We start from the raw sequence: 18,079 nt of genomic DNA, 5'->3' as shown, positions 1-18,079 counted from the left end.
ACACACAGGAAGGGATAGGATATCCCAAACAGAATAGGAAGTTGATGTTGGAAACCATCTAAGGAATGTGGGGCTGAAACAGAGGCTGAATCTCTTCAGTGGGGATGAGTCATGACTTCATAGGTTTGTTGATTCGTCTTGTGAAAGGAGACTCTGAACAGTAATTGATCATGCAAGGGAAAGACAAATCTTTGACTCCAAAAATTCATCAGCTGTTCTGTGTCCTAGGGATACAGAGGCAATGAGGGACCTTATTATCACACATAATCGGGTCTCATGAATGTTCAGTTGTATATCTGCTAGACCTTCAGGTTTGTTTGCTTCAGAAACACGTGTAAACCTTAGAGCGTATGGATGCAAGGAAGCATGAATTTTAACAGAGTTATACTTTCTGTGTGCTTCAAAACAGTCATTTTAAATGCATGTGCTGTTCAAATTCACATCAAGCCTATATCCAATTGTTTATCTGATGCACCTGTGAGTAGATTTGGACATTCTGCTGCTATTACCAGAAGGTGATGTATCTAGACCATTTTGAACATGTTGTAGGCCTACAACAACCTTCCTTTATAGAAACCAAATCTCTTAGACTCACTCTCACTTTGATCATAGAGAATAAAATGGAAACTTAAAAAAAATCTATGTTCCATTGGGAGAAAAATGCCAATGTTGATCAATAGCTCCTGCTGGTCACACAATACAAGGCCTCAGGGATCATCATTGTTCAGAATTCTGGATGAACAAACAGGTGTGTGATTTCCTTTTGAGGTGCAAGTACCTGAACTTGGTGAAACTGACATGGGAAGTAATTTAAGAAGGACATTAAACAGACATCGTTATCACCAGCTCACTGGTGGTGGGGGAAAAAGAAATCTCTTTCTGAGTTCTCTTGTTTAATCTTTCTATTTTGGTTACTAGTGTAAAGTACAAAAGAGAAATAATATTTGGTAATGGAGGCTGTGTGATACCTTTAAGAATGAGAACTCTGGCTGCCGTTTGTCTTTTACTGATTTCAAAACTTTGGTTATAAATGCAGTTTAAGTACACAAATAAGTTTAGTTTTCATTTGCTTCTTTGTTAAGCTACTTACAGTAAAAAATCATTTAATTAACAAATGCTATGTTCACGAAATTTTACCAAACCACCCTGTACGTGTAAATTTTTATTTTATTTTTAATTGACATATAGTAATTGTACATGTTTATGGGGTACATAGTGATATTTCCATAATATAATGTATAGTGATCAGATTGGGGTAATTAGCATATCCATCATCTCAAACATTGATCATTTCTGTATGTTGGGAACATTCAATATTCTCCTTCGAACTATTTGAAATTATATAATATAATCATTAAGTACAGTCATCCTGTAATGCTATAAAACACTATAACTTATTTGTCCTATCTAGCTGTAATTTTGTATCTTAACAAATCTCTCCCTCTCTCACCCTTTCCCCTACCCTTCCCAGCCTCTAGTATCCTCTGTTCTACTTTTCACTTCTATGAGATCAACATTTTTTTTTTAGCTTACATATGTGAGTGAGAATATGTAGTGTTTTACTTTCTGTTCCTAGCTTATTTCACTTAGCATAATGACCTCCAGTTCCATCCATGGTGCTGTGAATGACAGGATTTTATTCTTTTTTATTGCTGAATAGTATTCCATTGTGTATGTATACCACATTTTCTTCATCCATTCATCTGTTGTTGGGCACCTAGGTTAATTCCATATCTTGTCAATTGTGCATAGTGCTGCAGTAAACATGGGGATGCAGACATGCCTTCGATACACTGATTTCCTTTCCTTTGAATAAATGCCCAGTGGTGGGATTGATGGATCATGTGGTAGTTCTATTTGTTTCAGTGTGTGTATCCATGTGTGTACTTTTTTGAGGAACTTCCATACTGTTCTCCATAGTGGTTGTTCTAGTTTACATTCCCACACACAGTGTTTAACAGTTCCCTTTTCTCTGCATCTTCATCAGCATTTGTTATTTTTTGACTTTTTGATAATCGCCAACCCAGCTGGGGTGAGATGATATGTCATTTTGGTTTTGATTTGCATTTCCCCGACCATTAATGATGTTGAGAATTTTTTCATATATTTCTTGGCCATTTTTATGTCTTTTGAGACATGTCTGTTCAGATAATTTGCCCATTTTTTAATTGATTTTTTTTCTGTTGAGATGTTTGAGTTCCTTGTATGTTCTGGATGTTAATCCCCTCTTAGATAAATAGTTTGTAACTGCTTCCATTTCATAAGTTATCTTTTCACTCTGTTGATTGTTTCCTTTGCTGTGCAGAAGCTTTTTGGTATAACCCCATTTGTTTATTTTGGCGTTTGTTGCCTGTGCTTTTGTGGTGTTATTCATAGAATCTTTTCCCAGACCAGTGTCCTGAAGCATTTCCTTTATGTTTTCTTCTAGTAGTTTTATAGTTTCAGGTCTTACTTTTAGATCTTTGATCTATTTCTTACTTTTAAAATTCCCTTTGGAATATATCACAGTTTATATAAGAATTTTACATTGTAGCCTTAGAATTTATATAGAACACTTAGCACAAATCTTTACTTTTATCTATCATCTATCTCTCTATCTACCTACCTATCTATCAATATATCTATCTGCCTGCTAAGAGATAATCCCTTTGGTGGGAAGGAGACTTATGGATAAAATTATTGTGATTAATTTTGCCTCATCATATTAATCTGAAAAAGTCTTACCTTCTTCTTATGAATTGGTGGAATGAAAGTAATTGTTTAATACAAATGTTTAAATCAGCCATATAAATGAAAATATGCCTATAACCATATCCATAAGTAGGTTTTCAATCTTTTAACCTTGAACAAAAACCAAGCAACAATTGTTCTATTTTTTTTTCTCAGATAAACTTTCTTTTGCCAATAACTTTCTAGAGCCCAAGTATTTGGCCACTTGTTTCTATTTAATATACAGATTGCTTTTGGGATTCCAAATAGTATTTTCAATTATACTGTTTACTTAGTATATTTTATTTTCATCCGTTTCAAACTTTGGGGAAATGTACTTAGATTTATTTTAATCCTTTGGGAATATAGGCAATTGCTTTAATCGACAAATTTGTTAACAATGATATTAAATTGACTACAGCCATCTCAATAATGTTCAATCTTTTTAGTTACTATTTTTGCTTTATCAAGAATTGAATGGTTTGCCACTGATTGTATACATCGTTACTATGTTTATTTTATTAATATTTGTTTCATAAGCAACATGGAGGCATGATTTTAACCCCAATTCATAGTTCTCAAGTAGAAATAAGATTAGAAAAGTAGATTGTGACAGGTTTTGCCAACTATATTGAGAATTTTTGGACCTTTCAAAATAGGTAAGGGAGATCTCCTGAGTGACTGTGAGTGGAAAAGGGTCAGCAGGAAGACCAGTTTTGTTAGAGTAGTCCATGAATGACAAGTAAATTCTCAAGTAGGGCAGTGGTTATGTGGTTGAAAAAATGGGCAGAAAGGTAAAAGTTTTTGTGCAGCAAGAATTGATAAGACCTGGTTCTGCTTTTGAGTTTGATAGTCCATGCTCTCATTCCCAGTTGAAACAAAAGTATTTGTCCTTATCATTCTAAGTTCTCCTTTCTTATCCCTTTTCAGCTACTTTATTATGCACTTTTATGATAATATGTGAAATTCAAAGTATCATTTATCATTTACTTTGTGCCACATTTCAACTTGATTTTTCAAACTACTTATTTTTACAATAAGCATTATCATGCTTCTGAAAATTTGGCCAGAAATGAATCAAGGGAGAAGATGGAAGGGAAGAGACATTTTGAGCAGTTATCATAATCCAGCCACTACTTTAGCTGCATTACTGGTGATATCTTCACCATAATCCTATGAGCAGTTTTTACATACATTTTGTGGATGAAAATACTGAGGCTTGCAGAGTTTTAAAACATGGCAAATGTCAAGTGGCTGAAGGGTTTTGAGAGCTGTAATTCAAACATATGTCTTCCTGATGTCAAAACCATCACTCTTTCTACTGCTTTACTTTTCTTCCCTTACCTGTCTTCAGGTGAAGACCTTTAAATGCTCACCCTCTGGAACTCAGAAATGATAGTGATAGTGTGTGAAATTTATAAATATGGCAATAAAAATTGTTTGAATTTTCATTATCACTTTTATTTCCTAGTACAACCGTAATGTGAGGGCTTTTATTATAACTGCTTATGGAAATTAATTTTATAGCAGCCATTAAATGTCACTTGTTTGTACTAATTTCTACATTTTCTGAAATTTGAAATTCTCATCTAGTGAATCAATGAATTGAAATAACCACTAAGGGAGCTTTCATCTGTAACCAGATAACAGATGGAAACAAAGATGATAAGAGCAAGTTTTGCTTGAGTTGCTACATCTTAAAGAATTAAGAATTGACACAAAACCTGAACTTCTGTTTTGCTTAAAGAGGGAATTCTTCCTTTCCTCGAATGTCCGCAGACCTGATTCACTGTGCTCAGAGCATGAGTTGTGAGTCTGGTGGGGTCTTACCAACTATAACCATTCAATCAGTGGTGATTAACTGGCTGAAACATAAAGCAGAGGCCAGGGGTCTTTGCTGTTTGCCTTCATGCAGTTTTGTTAACACCTCCTTTATTTTTAATGTCATGGTTTTCAGAGATTGAGCATTTCCACATCTGCATTTCTGGCACAAAGACTAGATTTTCCAGTTCACTGTGTGTTTCAGTTTATCAATTTGAAAAGAGATGCAACATTTAATCATTCAATCTGCAGTGTTAATGGAGTGCCTACTACGTACCAGGCTTTGTTTCACTAATTTAGGAATTTATCAATGAACAAAATAGACTAACAGACCAAACTATCCCTGGAGCATAACATATAAATAATTTATGTATTATGTTAGAAGGTGGTAAATGCCATAAAAGGTACAGACACTGGTGAGCGGGAGAGCTGGGGAGTCAGCTGGTGGGCTAGCATTTTAAAGAGGGTGGTCACAGTGGGGCTTACTGAGAATGTGACATTTGAGGAAGACTTGAATAAGGGAAGAGAGTGAGTTATTTGGAAGAACAGACCTGACAGAGCAGCAGCTAATGCAGAGGCCCTGAGGCAAGAGAGTTCCTTGTGTGTTTAAGACAGTGAGTCTCAAAGCATGTTTCCTGGAATAGCAGCATCACATCACATGGGATTAGAAGTGCAAATTCCCAGATGCTGTTCCAGGCCTACAGCACAAGCCTTCCAGGTGATCCTAATGCACTGAAATTTGAAAACCACTGATGTAGGAAATAGCAAACGTGGCTAGAGCAAAGTGAAAAAGGGGAGAAAAGTAGGAAATGAAGTCCCAGCAGTAATGAAGGAGGGGGCAGCTTGGTAGAGCCTTATAGGCCTTGGTAAGGTCTTTACCTTTCACTCTGAGTGGAAAGATTGGCCACTGGAGGGTTTTGAGAGAGGAAGTATGTTTTAGTAGCATCATTCTGACTGCTGGGCTGGGAGTAGACCAGGGGGTAAGGCTGGGGTAGGGAGACCTGTTTAGACCTCCTAATTTAGAGGGGGGTGACAATGATAGTTTAAACCAGGGTGGTGATAGTGGAGGGAGTGAGAAATGATTAGATTCTGAATCTCATTTTGAAGTGGAGGTCATAGAACTTGCCAATGAATTTGTTGTTGAATTTGAGGAGAAGAAAGTGACCAAGCAGGGTTCAAAGGTTTTGGCCAGAGCATCTAGAAGAATAGTGTTGCCATTTGCTGGGCTGTGGAAGGGTGAGGTTGAGCATGTTTGAAGGGAGGATCAGACGTTTAGTTTTGCTGATGGTGCTAAGTAGGAGAAGTCTCTTAGATGTCCAAGTGGAGAGTTGAAAGGAGGTATGATCTGAAGCTGAGATATAAACTTGGGAGTCATCAGCATAGCGATACTGTTTAAAACAAAATGTAATTCATGGAGTAGTATGGGGATAAGTTTCTCGTAAGCATAAACTAAGTACTAAAAATGAATAATTGTAAGAGCCACTAAAGGGAAGAACTTGCGTAATGGTTAACAGTGACGGTTTGGGCTGGGTCTGGCCTCTCCTTTCCCTCCATGTCTGTGTGCATACCGGATCATAACAAAGGTAAATTGTGTAATTAATCATGTAATCAGTGAATAGTCCATTATGTTTTATATGGTTTCATATGATTCATCACTGCCTCACTCTAGATTTCTGGCTCTCTCAATAGGGAGTAGAATCTATAAAACCTACTGTATTAGTCCATTCTCTCACTGGTATGAAGAAATACCCGAGACTGGGTAATTTATAAAGGAAAGAGGTTTAATTGACTCACAGTTCTGCATGGCTGGGGAGGCCTCAGGAAACTTACAATCATGGCGGAAGGCAAAGGAGAAGCAGGGACCTTCTTCACAGGGTGGCAAGACAGAGTGAGTACAAGCAGGGGAAGTGCCAGATGCTGATAAAACCATCAGATCTTGTGAGAATTCACTCACTGTTATGAGAACAGCATGGGGGAAACTGCCCTCATGACCCCATTACCTTTACCTGGTGCCACCCTTGACACTTGGGGATTGTGGGGATTACAATTCAAGGTGAGATTTGAGTGGGGGCACAGAGCCAAACCATATCACCTACTGAGTCATATCCAGAGTACCCAATTGAGAATGTAGATTTCTGAAGCTGGTCTAGAGATGTGAGCTTGGTACCATACGTTCAGGTAGCTGCCGTGAGTCCAGTCAGAACTGTCAAACGCACTGTCAAAATCACAGGTAAAGCTCCTGTGATTTTGCTGTTTGTCACCTGCACTTAACCCTGGTTTCCCCGTATTTTACTTATAATGAATTGTACATTATAAACGCAGTTAAACATAGGCAAATTGTCAATGGACTCCACATCCAGGAAGCTCTTCAAATAAACTCTCTAATACATAAGTTTCATTTTAAATTTGTACGTATCATTTTATTGTTCTTTCCATTTTTGATTCTTTTCTTTAGCATCACAGATAGAGTCTCTCATATAGCAAGTTGATATCCATGTACAATTTGACTTGGTGCCAGAAGCATATTTCTGTTTTGTCTCCCTGCCTTTGGGCTTCCTCTTCCTGTGGCTTGCTTGGTGTCACACGTATTTCTCCTTCTCCCACCCCTGCCACCACCTCCATCTTTTCTGTCCTTCTCTTCCTCTGTCTCTCCCTCTCCAAGCTGCCAAGAGGAAGAAAAGGCCAATAAGGATAATAGTCTTCCAAGGCTTCACTCTCCCAGCTGTCTCCAAAGCTCCCTCAGAAAAGATGCAAAACTTTTCTGCTTTTGGAGAGAACAGCAGGCCAAGAAGACTTTTCAATTTAAACGTGCTCACAGTTGCAGCTCAGTTGCTTGCCTAAGATTTCGGAGAGTAGTTTTTCACAGACTTGGATACTTTTTCAATTAGCAAGTTTGAAATAACCACATTTAAACAATAATGGAACTCTCTTAAGAAAGTAGACAGAAGTAAACCTATTTAATCAGAGATATATATCTTTGTCTTCAAATATATTTCCCCTTCAAAAGAAGATTTTATATATATAATATTAAATATAATCACAGCAATCACTTGAAACTGATGTGACTTGAGAAAATAAATGGGTGATTAAAGGGATGCTGGTAGTATTTTTTGCAGGTTTCATGTTGCTTGGCACCTATTCTTCCTTCCTCTGTTACTTCTCCTCCTCCTTTTTTTTTTTTTTAACATTTTATTTTTTATTTTATTTTATGTTAGAGTCTCACTCTGTTGTCCAGGCTGGAGTGCAGTTGCATGATCTCAGCTCACTGCAACCTCTGCCTCCCTGGCTCAAGGGATTCTCCTGCTTCAGCTTCCCAAGCAGCTGGGACTACAGGCATGAGCCACCATGCCCAGATAATTTTTTTGTATTTTAGTAGAGACAGGTTTTCACTATGTTGGCCAGGCTGGTCTCAAACTCCTGACCTCAAATGATCCACCCGCCTCTGCCTCCTAAAGTGCTGGGACTACAGGTATGCGCCACCACGCCCAGCTATTTTTTTTTGTATTTTAGTAGAGATGGGGTTTTACCATGTTGACCAGGCTAGTCTCGAACTTTCGACTTCAAATGATCCACCCGCCTCTGCCTCCCAAAGTGCTGGGATTACAGGTGTGAGCCCCTGCGCCCGGCCCTTCTTTTTTGATGTCCATATTTCCTGCAGTTGATTATGATAAATACAGTATGGGAGCTTCAAAGCAGCCATGTAGGTTAACGTCTTAAGGAATACTCAACAAGAGTTGTTAATTGAGGTAGAAAATATATTTATGCAAATTAATAGGAATTGGAGAAAGAAAGAACTCATCTGATGGAAGATGTAACTGCAAACAAAAGAAGGATGAAGGAACTAGAAGATAACTTGCTTTACCGCCTGACAAGTACCCAGGGGTCCCTGGTAGAAGATGAAAGTCTCATTGTCGTGCTGAGTAACACAAAAAGGACAGCCGAGGAGGTGACACAGAAGCTAGAAATTTCTGCTGAGACAGAAGTTCAAATTAACTCAGCCCGGGAGGAATACAGACCTGGTGAGTTTGGTAATGAAAGACAAATGTCACAGGAAAATGAAATGAGAGAGGAATGAGAATTAGAGAAATGGAAGGATGTGAGGGAGTTATACAAATGATTATGCAAAGTGGAGGTGTTTTGTGGAATTTCTGTTGGGAAATATTCCGTAAAATGGAGGTCAAAAATTTTTTATAATGGTATAAATTTCCTGGGTACTTGTCATTCATGTTAGTTGGTAAATCCTTTAAGGTTCTCATGAACTTATTTTGATGTTAGAAAGTAAAGAAGGAGAATTTTAAAAAATCTGATGACTACAAATTAGGGAAATCTGAGGAATTAGTGCACCAGTTATTTATCGTTTGGTAACACTATGTTGGTATTTTGTTTATAGTTTTTGTGTTAGGAAGGTAGTTCTGTGGTCTCTTGGGAGATTTTTATCCTCAGCCACCAATTTGCAAATTGGCCTTGTACAAGAGAAACCTGCTAAATAATTCAGTTGGATCGGCTATCTTTTAGTATTTTATTATTCCTCTTAACAAATAATCGGCCGGGCATGGTTGCTCATGACTATAATCCCAGCACTTTGGGAGGCTGAGGTGGGCAGATCATCTGAGGTCAGGAGTGTGAGACAGGCCTGGTCAACATGATGAGACCAGCCTGGATAACATGGTGAAACTCTGTTTCTACTAAAAATATAAGAGAAAAAAAAATTAGCCAGGCATGGTGGTGGGCGCCTGTAATCCCAGCTACTCAGGAGGCTGAGGCAGGAGACTCTCTTAAACCCAGGAGGCGGAGGTTGCAGTGAGCCGAGATCACGCCACTGTACTCCAGCCTGGGGGACAAGAGCAAAACTCCGTATCAACAAAATAATAATAATAATTAAAGTGTCGTTTATTGTTAGAGAGGCAGAAGCATCATCTTTGCAATGGCTTGTTTTGCAGACTTGAAGCCCAGGTTAGGCATGGCTTCTCCCTGGAACTTAAGGATGAGGTCCCTAATGGCTACCTCGCTTGCTGGGTGTTAAACTAACACAACCTTTGAAATTTCTTTGATTGTCTTTTCTACCTGCAGTAAAAATAGTAAAATATTGTTGCGAGGGGTCTAGAGATTCTAAAATGAGAAGTACCATTTAATAAATACAAATAGTTGATTACTTACAAAATGTTGTAAATAATAAATATATTAATAAATGAATATCGCTTTGTATCCCGTATCTGGTAGGCAGCCACTGCCTAAAATAAAAGTTGTTGTTTTCATTTAGAGTTTAGGCTGATCTCTTTGCATGGATCATTTATTTTCCTCTCTCGTAGCACATGCAACCTTGCTCTTTGTCTTCCAGTGGCTACGCGGGGCAGCATCCTCTACTTCCTCATTACTGAGATGCGCTTGGTTAATGAGATGTATCAGACTTCGCTTCGCCAGTTTCTGGGCTTATTTGACCTTTCCTTAGCCAGGTACGTCTGTACGCGGGAAGCCAAGCTGAATTCTATATCTGTGCACTAAAATGATGACATTACATTTATAACTTCCTTCTCCTTTGTTAGTAAGAGTCTTTTTCTTTTTTAAATCTCAGATCAGTGTAATTACCAATGTGTTAACAAATCATTCTGATTTGCCATTTTATGCCCAGAGAAAACTCTACCAACTATTTATCCATTGATTTGATTCCTTTGGCTTCGTATGTTTCTGTTAAACAAGAAAATTCCCAAGATATCGTTGTGAGTGATGATGCCCTGCAGGTAGAATTGATTTAGACAACATTCGGGATTCTGTTATATTATTTCATGTTGAGAGAATTCTTGTTATTTTAGATTTAGGAGGCTTTCTCTTGATGTGTAAAAATAAGAATTCTTCCTCCAAAGTTACTTATTTTCCATTAAAGACAATTGTTTTTACAGACAATTGAAAAGGGCAGTGGGATAAGCCTGATTTAAATATTCTATTCACCAGGTCTGTCAAGAGCCCGATTACAAGCAAGAGGATTGCTAATATCATCGAGCACATGACCTACGAGGTTTATAAGTATGCTGCCCGAGGGCTGTACGAGGAGCACAAATTCCTGTTCACCTTGTTGCTTACCCTAAAGATTGACATCCAGAGGAACCGAGTCAAGCATGAAGAGTTTCTCACTCTTATTAAAGGTCAATATAAGAATAGAGACTATAGCGCACAGGTGCAGATGGAGGAGTTATTGTGAAAGCCCTTTGCAGTACATTTTTTGGTTATAACAATTGCCTTGCATTATGTAAGACTGCATTTAGATGAGATATTTTATTTGTTCTTTTCTTGAGTGATAACTATCTATTGAGGACCTACTGTATACCTGGGCATGGAATAGGTATTTGGGGCATGTCAGTGAACAAAAACCCTTGAAAAGCATATATAGATTTAGGGAGGGTACAGAAAAAAAATAAAATAATAAATGAATTTTATAGTGAGTGGGAAGATGGTAAGTCCTATGGAAAACAGAGCAGGATGAGAGGGATGGGAAGTTACAGGGCATTATGAAGTGGGAGGAGCTTCAAGCTTTAAGTGAGGTATTCAATGGGATATTTAATGGGGTGGCATTCCTAAGAGATCGGTAGGTGGGCAAAGACCTGAAAGAGCAGGAGGTGCTGGCCATGGGAACATTTAGGGAAGAGGGCTGAAGCAGAAGGGATGGCATCAGGTCAGGGCCTCTGGTGGAGTGAGGCTGGTGTGATGTAGATAAAACAAAGTGACTGGGTGATGAGTGAAGCGGATGAAGACCCTGTGCAGCTCATCCTGTGGATGATTTATTCTGCATCTACTGAAGCATTGCTCACAGCCGTGTCCCCTGGGCCATTCAAACGAAACAGCCCAGCGGAAGGCTGGAAAACATAAATTCACTATCACATTCTTGAATGTCTTGAAAAAAATATTTGAAGTAACTGTGTATCTTAGTTCTCAATGCTATAAGAAATTACTATAGACTGGGTGGCTAATAAACAACAGACATTTATTTTTCACAGTTCTAGAAGTTGGAAGTCCCAGATCAGGGTGCAGCACAGTGGATTCTAGTGAGGAGCCTCTTCTGGGTTGTAGACAACTGTCTTCTCATTGCATCTTCACATGCTGGGGAGCAGAGAAGAGGAAGCAAGCTCTCTAGTGACTATTATAAGGGCACTAATCTCATTCCTAAGGGCTCCACCTTCATGACCTCATCTAATCATAATTATGTCTCAATGGCCTCACCTCCCAGGACCGTCAGAATTGAGATATAGGGTTTCAACATATGAGTTTTGGGGAGACACAATATTCATCCCATAACACTATGAAAATGATGCCAGGGTCTAAATAGATTCATCTAGTATACCTTTCTAAACCAAGTCTTTAGAGATAAGACATAATTTTATCTAGCAGGAGATTTTCATGCTTAACATGGAGAGTAGGTTTGTAGGAGAACTTGAAGACCACCCCTAGGGGAACAGTAGGGAAGGAATGTAGGTATACACATGCTGTGCCCTGGTGGGGGTTATAGGTCCATAGTCATACATATGCAAATGCATTTTCATATGCATATACATATGCATATGTGTGTGTGTATATATATATCTTATAGTAGCAACAAAGACTCATCTGTTTAGATTTGAACTTAGAAATGATTAAATTATAGACAATCTCTCTCTCTTTAATTGTGTCTAACCATTAAACACTTACTCTTTAGCTATATTTGAACCTTATTTTCCAAATTTCCTAAATCAGAATAAGTGACAGATGAGTCTCTGGAGAGAAAGATGTGTAGATGTAAGAGCTGCCTTCTCTGGTGAACCCTTAATATGTTACTAATTTCTGGCCTCAGTGACTCTAGTCCCCCGTTTCTAGAGCTTTTCAATGGATTGTTGTTCCTGTCGTTCTCAACTCAGGCATGAAATGTATTTCCACATAGAAATAACTTTGAAGAGAGTGTCCAGCTCTTGTTGAAATACTGTGAAGCATCTCACAGTTTGTCTTCATGATAGCAAACATAAGATTTAGAGTTAGGAAGTTGAGAGTTAAAATATGTGTTGGCTTTGTCACTTTCTTGATCTTGAGAAGGTCATTTACCCTTTTCAAACTCCAGTTTCCTTGTCTATAATACAAGGATAGTAAAATCTACATAGTAGGATTATTGAGAATTTACACAGTTTATGTAAATCCTGATACATAGGATATGCTTAGCAAATGATGGCCATCATATTATCTTCATCACTTTAGATATTTTGATTAGTCTGATGCTTGTATGGGTTGGACTGGTTGTCATGGGTCTTTGGCTTTCAACAGCTGTTTGTAACACTGCTTTATGAAACAGTTTCAGAGCAAACTTTGGAGCAGGATTATGTTGCAAATCTGCCCTTCAATGGTTAGGTTGATGAGAGCTACCTGGTGATATAAACTCTCTCTGTAAGGACTTTAAAATCATTTAACATAATTTAAAATGTTATTTAGATAGTGTTATGGTGCAAATGTTTGTATCCGACTAAAATTCGTATGATGAAAACCTAAACCCCAAGGTTATGGCATGAGATGGAGGGATTTTTGGGAGGTGATTAGGTCATAGGGGCAGAGTCAAGATAAGGGATTGATGCCCTTATAAGAGAGGCCCACCCAGGTGCGGTGGCTCAAGTCTGTAATCCCAGCACTTTGGAAGGCTGAGGTGGTCAGATCACTTGAGGTCAGGAGTTCAAGACCAGCCTGGCCAACATGGTGAAACACCGTCTCTACTAAAATACAAAAAAAATTAGCCAGGAGTGGTGGCTCACACCTGTAGTCCCAGCTACTTGGGAGACTGAAGCAGGAGAATCATTTGAACCTGGGAGGCGGAGGTTGCAGTGAGCCGAGATTGCGCCACTGCACTCCAGCCTGGGTGACAGAGCAAGACTCCCTCTCACAAAAAAAGGGGCTCAAGAGAGACCCCAGCTCCTGCACTATGTGAGAATTGCAGTGAGAATATGGTCTTCTATGAACCAGAAGTGAGCTCTCACCAGACACCAAATCACTGGTGCCTTGAACTTGGAATTCCCATCTTCCAGAACTGTGATAAATAAATTTCAGTTGTTGATAAGCAGAGTGCCTCCTAGAATGTGATATTCTGTTGTAGCAGCTTTTAAGCCCAATAGCCACAACAGATTTCCATTTTTTTTTTTTTTTTTTGAAGACAGAGTCTTGCTCTGTCACCCAAGCTAGAGTGCAGTGGTGCAATCACAACTCACTGTAACCTCAAACTCCTGGGCTTAGGTGATCCTCCTGAGTAGCTAGGACTACAAGCTCATGCCAATACATCCAGCTAACTTTTAAATTTTTTGTAGAGATGAAGTCTCATTATGTTGCCCCAGCTGGTCTCAAACTTCTGGGTTAAGCTGTCCTCTTGCCTTTTCCTCCCAAAGTCCTGGGATGACAGATGTGGGACACTGCTCTTGGCCTCAACAGTATTTGGATGGTGGTCTTTCAGTCATTTCTAAGATGGGAAAGGCTCAGCCTAGATTATTCTCTAAGTCTGCCTTAGCTGTGACAATTTATGATTGTGTGGCATAGCTTGTATAAAACTTTCATTATAAGCATGTATCATTTTCACAAAGTATTACGGTAAAAACTCCAACTTACTTTTTTTTTCCAAAGCAAGAGTTTGAGGAAAGAAGGGAACAGCACAGTTCTCAATTATCTGGACAATTTATTTCGAATTATTCCTTTCAGCTATTTATTCATCAAGGGTCTATTTAATTTGTTACCACATTATTCAGGAATATGTCCTCTCCCCCAAGTTACAATCACTATTTGTGCCTAATTGTGTACTTTGGGAGCCGGCAGGTTAGTCATGACATAGTTACCGGCTACTAAACAATGAATAATACTCTGGCCCGCGAGGAACACTCTTTCCTTTCTGTGAATAGCCTTTCCCTAACCCTCTGGTGGATGTCTTACTCTTTTCAATTTGTTGGAAAATGGACAGTTGCTAAGGTGCAAAATTTTATTCAACACAATGCATTGTCTTTAGGTCTTTGCTCACTGGTGTTAAAACAATCTGTTTTCATTTTACGAGCTAATATTTTCTTCAAATTGGCTTCAAGGCCATACTGACCTCATTGTAAATATATTTTGATGGATTTGGCAAAAAATAACAATTTAGTAGTGTACATGGTGCCTGGATAAAATAGAGATTAGCTCAATAAATATCTTGAGTATTGTCATTTGTTTATAACCTACTCTGTTCAAACAAAGATTTTTAAAGTGGCCAAATGGATTGATTTTATCATTTTATGAATAATGCGTAGGCCGGGCGCGGTGGCTCATGCCTTTAATCCCAGTGCTTTGGGAGGGAGGCTGAGGCGGGCAAATCACCTGGGGTCGGGAGTTCGAGACCAGCCTGACAAACGTGGAGAAACCCCGCCTCTACTAAAAATACAAAATTAGCCAGGCGTGGTCATGCATGCCTGTAATCCCCGCTACTCACGAGGCTGAGGCAGGAGAATTGCTTGAACCTGGGAGGCAGATGTTGTGAGCCGAGATCACGCCATTGCACTCTAGCCTGGGCAACAAGAGTGAAACTACATCTCAAAAAAAAAAAAAAATAACAGCACTTTGGGAGGCCGAGGTGGGCAGACCACGAGGTCAGGAGATCGATACCATCCTGGCTAACACGGTGAAACCTCGTCTTCACTAAAAATATGAAAAATTAGATGGGCGTGGTGGCGGGTGCCTGTAGTCCCAGCTACTCAGGAGGCTGAGGCAGGAGAATGGCATGAACCTGGGAGGCGGAGCTTGCAGTGAACCGAGATCGTGCCACTGCACTCCAGCCTGGGCTACAGAACGAGACTCCATCTCAAAAGAAAGAAAGAAAGAAAGAATAATGCATAGAGCATATTTTCCTTGATATTCTTTAATGGATGTTATTTATTAAATAGTATATTTTATCCTTAATTCTTAACTTTATCCTTTATTCTTAACTCTTTCTTAAAATAACGATTGCTCACACATTCAGTTGTTCTGAAGTGGACAACAAAAACATTTTTAAGGTGTCATTTTTGTTACATTGCTGTCAGAGTTACGTGGGTTACATGAGCTTTGGTAAATCATCAGTAAAAAGATAAGGGTCAGTACCAAATGGAAATGTTTGTTGTGGTTAGCTTAGGGTATAACCACAGGCATAAGTGACACAGCATGGAACCCTTGGGGTGTGTTCAAGGTAGATGTAAGTAATATACTGATTTATAGAAGAGAATCCTTCAAACATCTAGTACTACTAACATTTCTAGATAAAGTGTGTATTGAATATTAGCTTGTGCTAATATTGGGCAATTCTTAATATTGAAAATTGATGCTCATTTAGTGACCCTCTGCCATGTCCTCTATCCTGTTTTGTGTGCTTTACACGCATACATTGTGACACAGGTTTAATTATTCTTATTTTACTAATTTGGAATTAGAGACCTAGACAAATGAAATGGCTTGTCTCAGACCTTGTCCAGGGGAAGCTAGGACAGAATCCAGCATCTGCCTGGTTCCAAAGTTATATTACTGATGATTAAATGAGTTTTTTCTAAAATTATCTATTGATTTATTAAATGTTGCATGTTTCTCACTATGATTTATATTTCTGTGCTTAAAAAAGTGAAAGTAGTAAAATAACTGAAATTAAAATAATACAAATTTTACTAAATAGATTGTTTTATAGTGAAGGAAGGGAAATCTGATAATTTAATATTTAATTTTAAAGGAGGTGCCTCATTAGACCTTAAAGCTTGTCCTCCAAAACCATCAAAATGGATCCTGGACATAACATGGCTGAATTTGGTGGAACTTAGCAAACTCAGACAGTTTTCAGATGTCCTTGACCAGGTAACTGTGCTTTGAATCAACTTAAGCTGATGTCATGTTGAGCAGCTTTCTGATTTATCACTAGGTACAATATTTGTGGAAGAGAGATAGTTCTTAATATTGTCACTCTTAAAATGGTATTACATGTGCTTGACCTTCTTGAAAGCACACTTACACTCTGATAAGGCATTCTCTGCTCATCGTTAACTGATCTTGCAGGTAGAAATGTGCCCAGGAACTTTAACCAGTGCCATCCTGGGCCATATGTTAGTATCACCAATTGGATGTCCACAAGTAGAAAAACTGATAGATCCAATTAGATTAAATAATTAGATAGACTTAAAAAGCCTTTTCCTTCTTTCTAGAGGTTAAATGAAAAGACATATGAACAGCTTGCCTCTAAATGCTAAATTTCCTTTCTTGCCTCTTGTTTCTCTCCCTCTTCTTCTTCTTCCTCTCCTGCCCTTCCCATTATTTGACTTAGTTAGGCACCTGGGTATGAATCTCCTGTAAACACTTGGCCTCTTATCTTTAGAAGTTATCATCTTTCTAGAATCAGCCAGCTCCTGATGAACTTTGCATGTTCTGGAATCATGGAAGTTGGGTGTAGAGAATTGAATTGGGACAAGCCAAGAAACAGGTTATTGAAAATCAGGTGACCATAGAGAAATGAGTTTGGCAGCAGGGTGGCTTTATCCAGCTATAAGTTGAAGGCTTTTTTTGACGAGGAAATGTCTTAAAGTTGGTTCTTGACTTCCTCAGTTTAAGTTGACCATTTGCTTATGTTCTGCTATCCTTTTATGTTTTGGCTTATCACTGGTGGTGTTTATTATTACTACCATGTACTTAGGGGTACAAACCATTCTTTCGGGTTATTCCCCAATAGGATTACCCCCAGTGGCCTTGCCTAGACCATTGATATTGAAGTTGCTACCTTCTGGAGATGATATCTTATGCACGAAACCCCTCAATATTAAGTAGTCTTTCAAGATCGAAAGAAGTTATTATTTTTATTCTTACATGGTACTTTCTAAATATGAACCTGGAATGATTTGCCTTTGATTATATCCCAAGAAAGACATTGGAACCCTTGATGAAAAGGAATATACCAGATAACATAAGATGATATTTATCTGTAGACATTATTTGTTTGTTCAGTGTTTCTGATCTGCTTACCATGTAATTCCTGCCTCTCTTTGGTGTTTTAAGCTGCAGAGGATAATGTACTATGTCCTTTTACTCTTTCCCAGTTGCCTAAGGGTAGCAGGTGTCTGATCATTCATTTGATGATATTAACTGGCGTATTTCCAATTACTCTAGATTAATAGAGTATTGATCAAAAAGCTGTTCATTCAATAATAAACATGTGTTAAATGTCTTCTTTTGGGTCAGGAGTGGTCCTGGGAAATGAGGAAACATAAGTGAATGAGATTTGGTTCCTGACATGAGAAGATTTTGTGGAGCAAATCGGACTTCGTTGAAATAATGAAAATGAATTTCCATTGATTTTGTTGTATTCTTTACAAATTTGTTACCACAAAGGCATAGAAGAAATTAAATATCCCATGACTCTCCCTACTTTGAAATGTAGTTGTAGGCTGATGTTAGTATAGACTGACTTTGGAGCAAATGACATTAGATTTTACACTGTCAAACTTTCTATAATATAAAATAAAAAAATAGCCAAGGAATATAATTTACACATATCTGGAGAGGTCAGAGGTTTGATGAAACATAT

General features: G+C 38.4%; 1 protein-coding gene across 11 annotated transcripts in view, besides 6 other annotated features; it reads left to right on the top strand.

Moving 5' to 3' along the window:
- DNAH5 (dynein axonemal heavy chain 5) overlaps positions 1 to 18,079 on the top strand; it is a 321,491-nt gene that overhangs the window by 266,018 nt on the left and 37,394 nt on the right. For 9 of the 11 annotated variants that reach the window (XM_017009177.2, XM_005248262.4, XM_047416886.1 and 6 more), the window contains 4 exons: positions 8,306 to 8,549; positions 9,869 to 9,983; positions 10,480 to 10,670; positions 16,241 to 16,362. In XM_017009177.2, the coding sequence (XP_016864666.1) occupies positions 8,306 to 8,549; positions 9,869 to 9,983; positions 10,480 to 10,670; positions 16,241 to 16,362 (672 nt within the window). Of the gene's footprint in view, positions 1 to 8,305; positions 8,550 to 9,868; positions 9,984 to 10,479; positions 10,671 to 16,240; positions 16,363 to 18,079 lie in introns of those variants that run through there. The other 2 variants (XM_017009181.2, XM_017009182.2) reach the window with 2 other exon arrangements.
- Positions 3,876 to 7,903: a meiotic recombination region, noted in NCBI's record as "meiotic double-strand break mapped by DNA meiotic recombinase 1 chromatin immunoprecipitation followed by single-stranded DNA enrichment and sequencing in the germ cells of some male individuals with the PRDM9 A/A, PRDM9 A/B and PRDM9 A/C genotypes". NCBI's record gives the evidence for it as "EXISTENCE:chromatin immunoprecipitation-seq evidence [ECO:0000229][PMID:25395542]".
- Positions 3,876 to 8,466: a biological region, named in NCBI's record as "meiotic recombination hotspot J".
- Positions 4,488 to 5,987: a meiotic recombination region, noted in NCBI's record as "hotspot J2 sub-region crossovers mapped in sperm cells of males of European ancestry". NCBI's record gives the evidence for it as "EXISTENCE:DNA detection assay evidence [ECO:0005519][PMID:18650392]".
- Positions 4,689 to 8,466: a meiotic recombination region, noted in NCBI's record as "this region was identified as a recombination hotspot within the HapMap CEU population". NCBI's record gives the evidence for it as "EXISTENCE:nucleotide sequencing assay evidence [ECO:0000219][PMID:20981099]".
- Positions 4,749 to 8,466: a meiotic recombination region, noted in NCBI's record as "this region was identified as a recombination hotspot within the HapMap YRI population". NCBI's record gives the evidence for it as "EXISTENCE:nucleotide sequencing assay evidence [ECO:0000219][PMID:20981099]".
- Positions 6,425 to 7,724: a meiotic recombination region, noted in NCBI's record as "hotspot J1 sub-region, crossovers mapped in sperm cells of males of European ancestry". NCBI's record gives the evidence for it as "EXISTENCE:DNA detection assay evidence [ECO:0005519][PMID:18650392]".

Source organism: Homo sapiens, chromosome 5 (assembly GCF_000001405.40).
Source record: "Homo sapiens chromosome 5, GRCh38.p14 Primary Assembly".
Lineage (NCBI taxonomy): Eukaryota > Metazoa > Chordata > Mammalia > Primates > Hominidae > Homo > Homo sapiens.
Note: the sequence above shows the minus strand (reverse complement) of the source record. Positions and strands in the feature narration are given on the sequence as shown.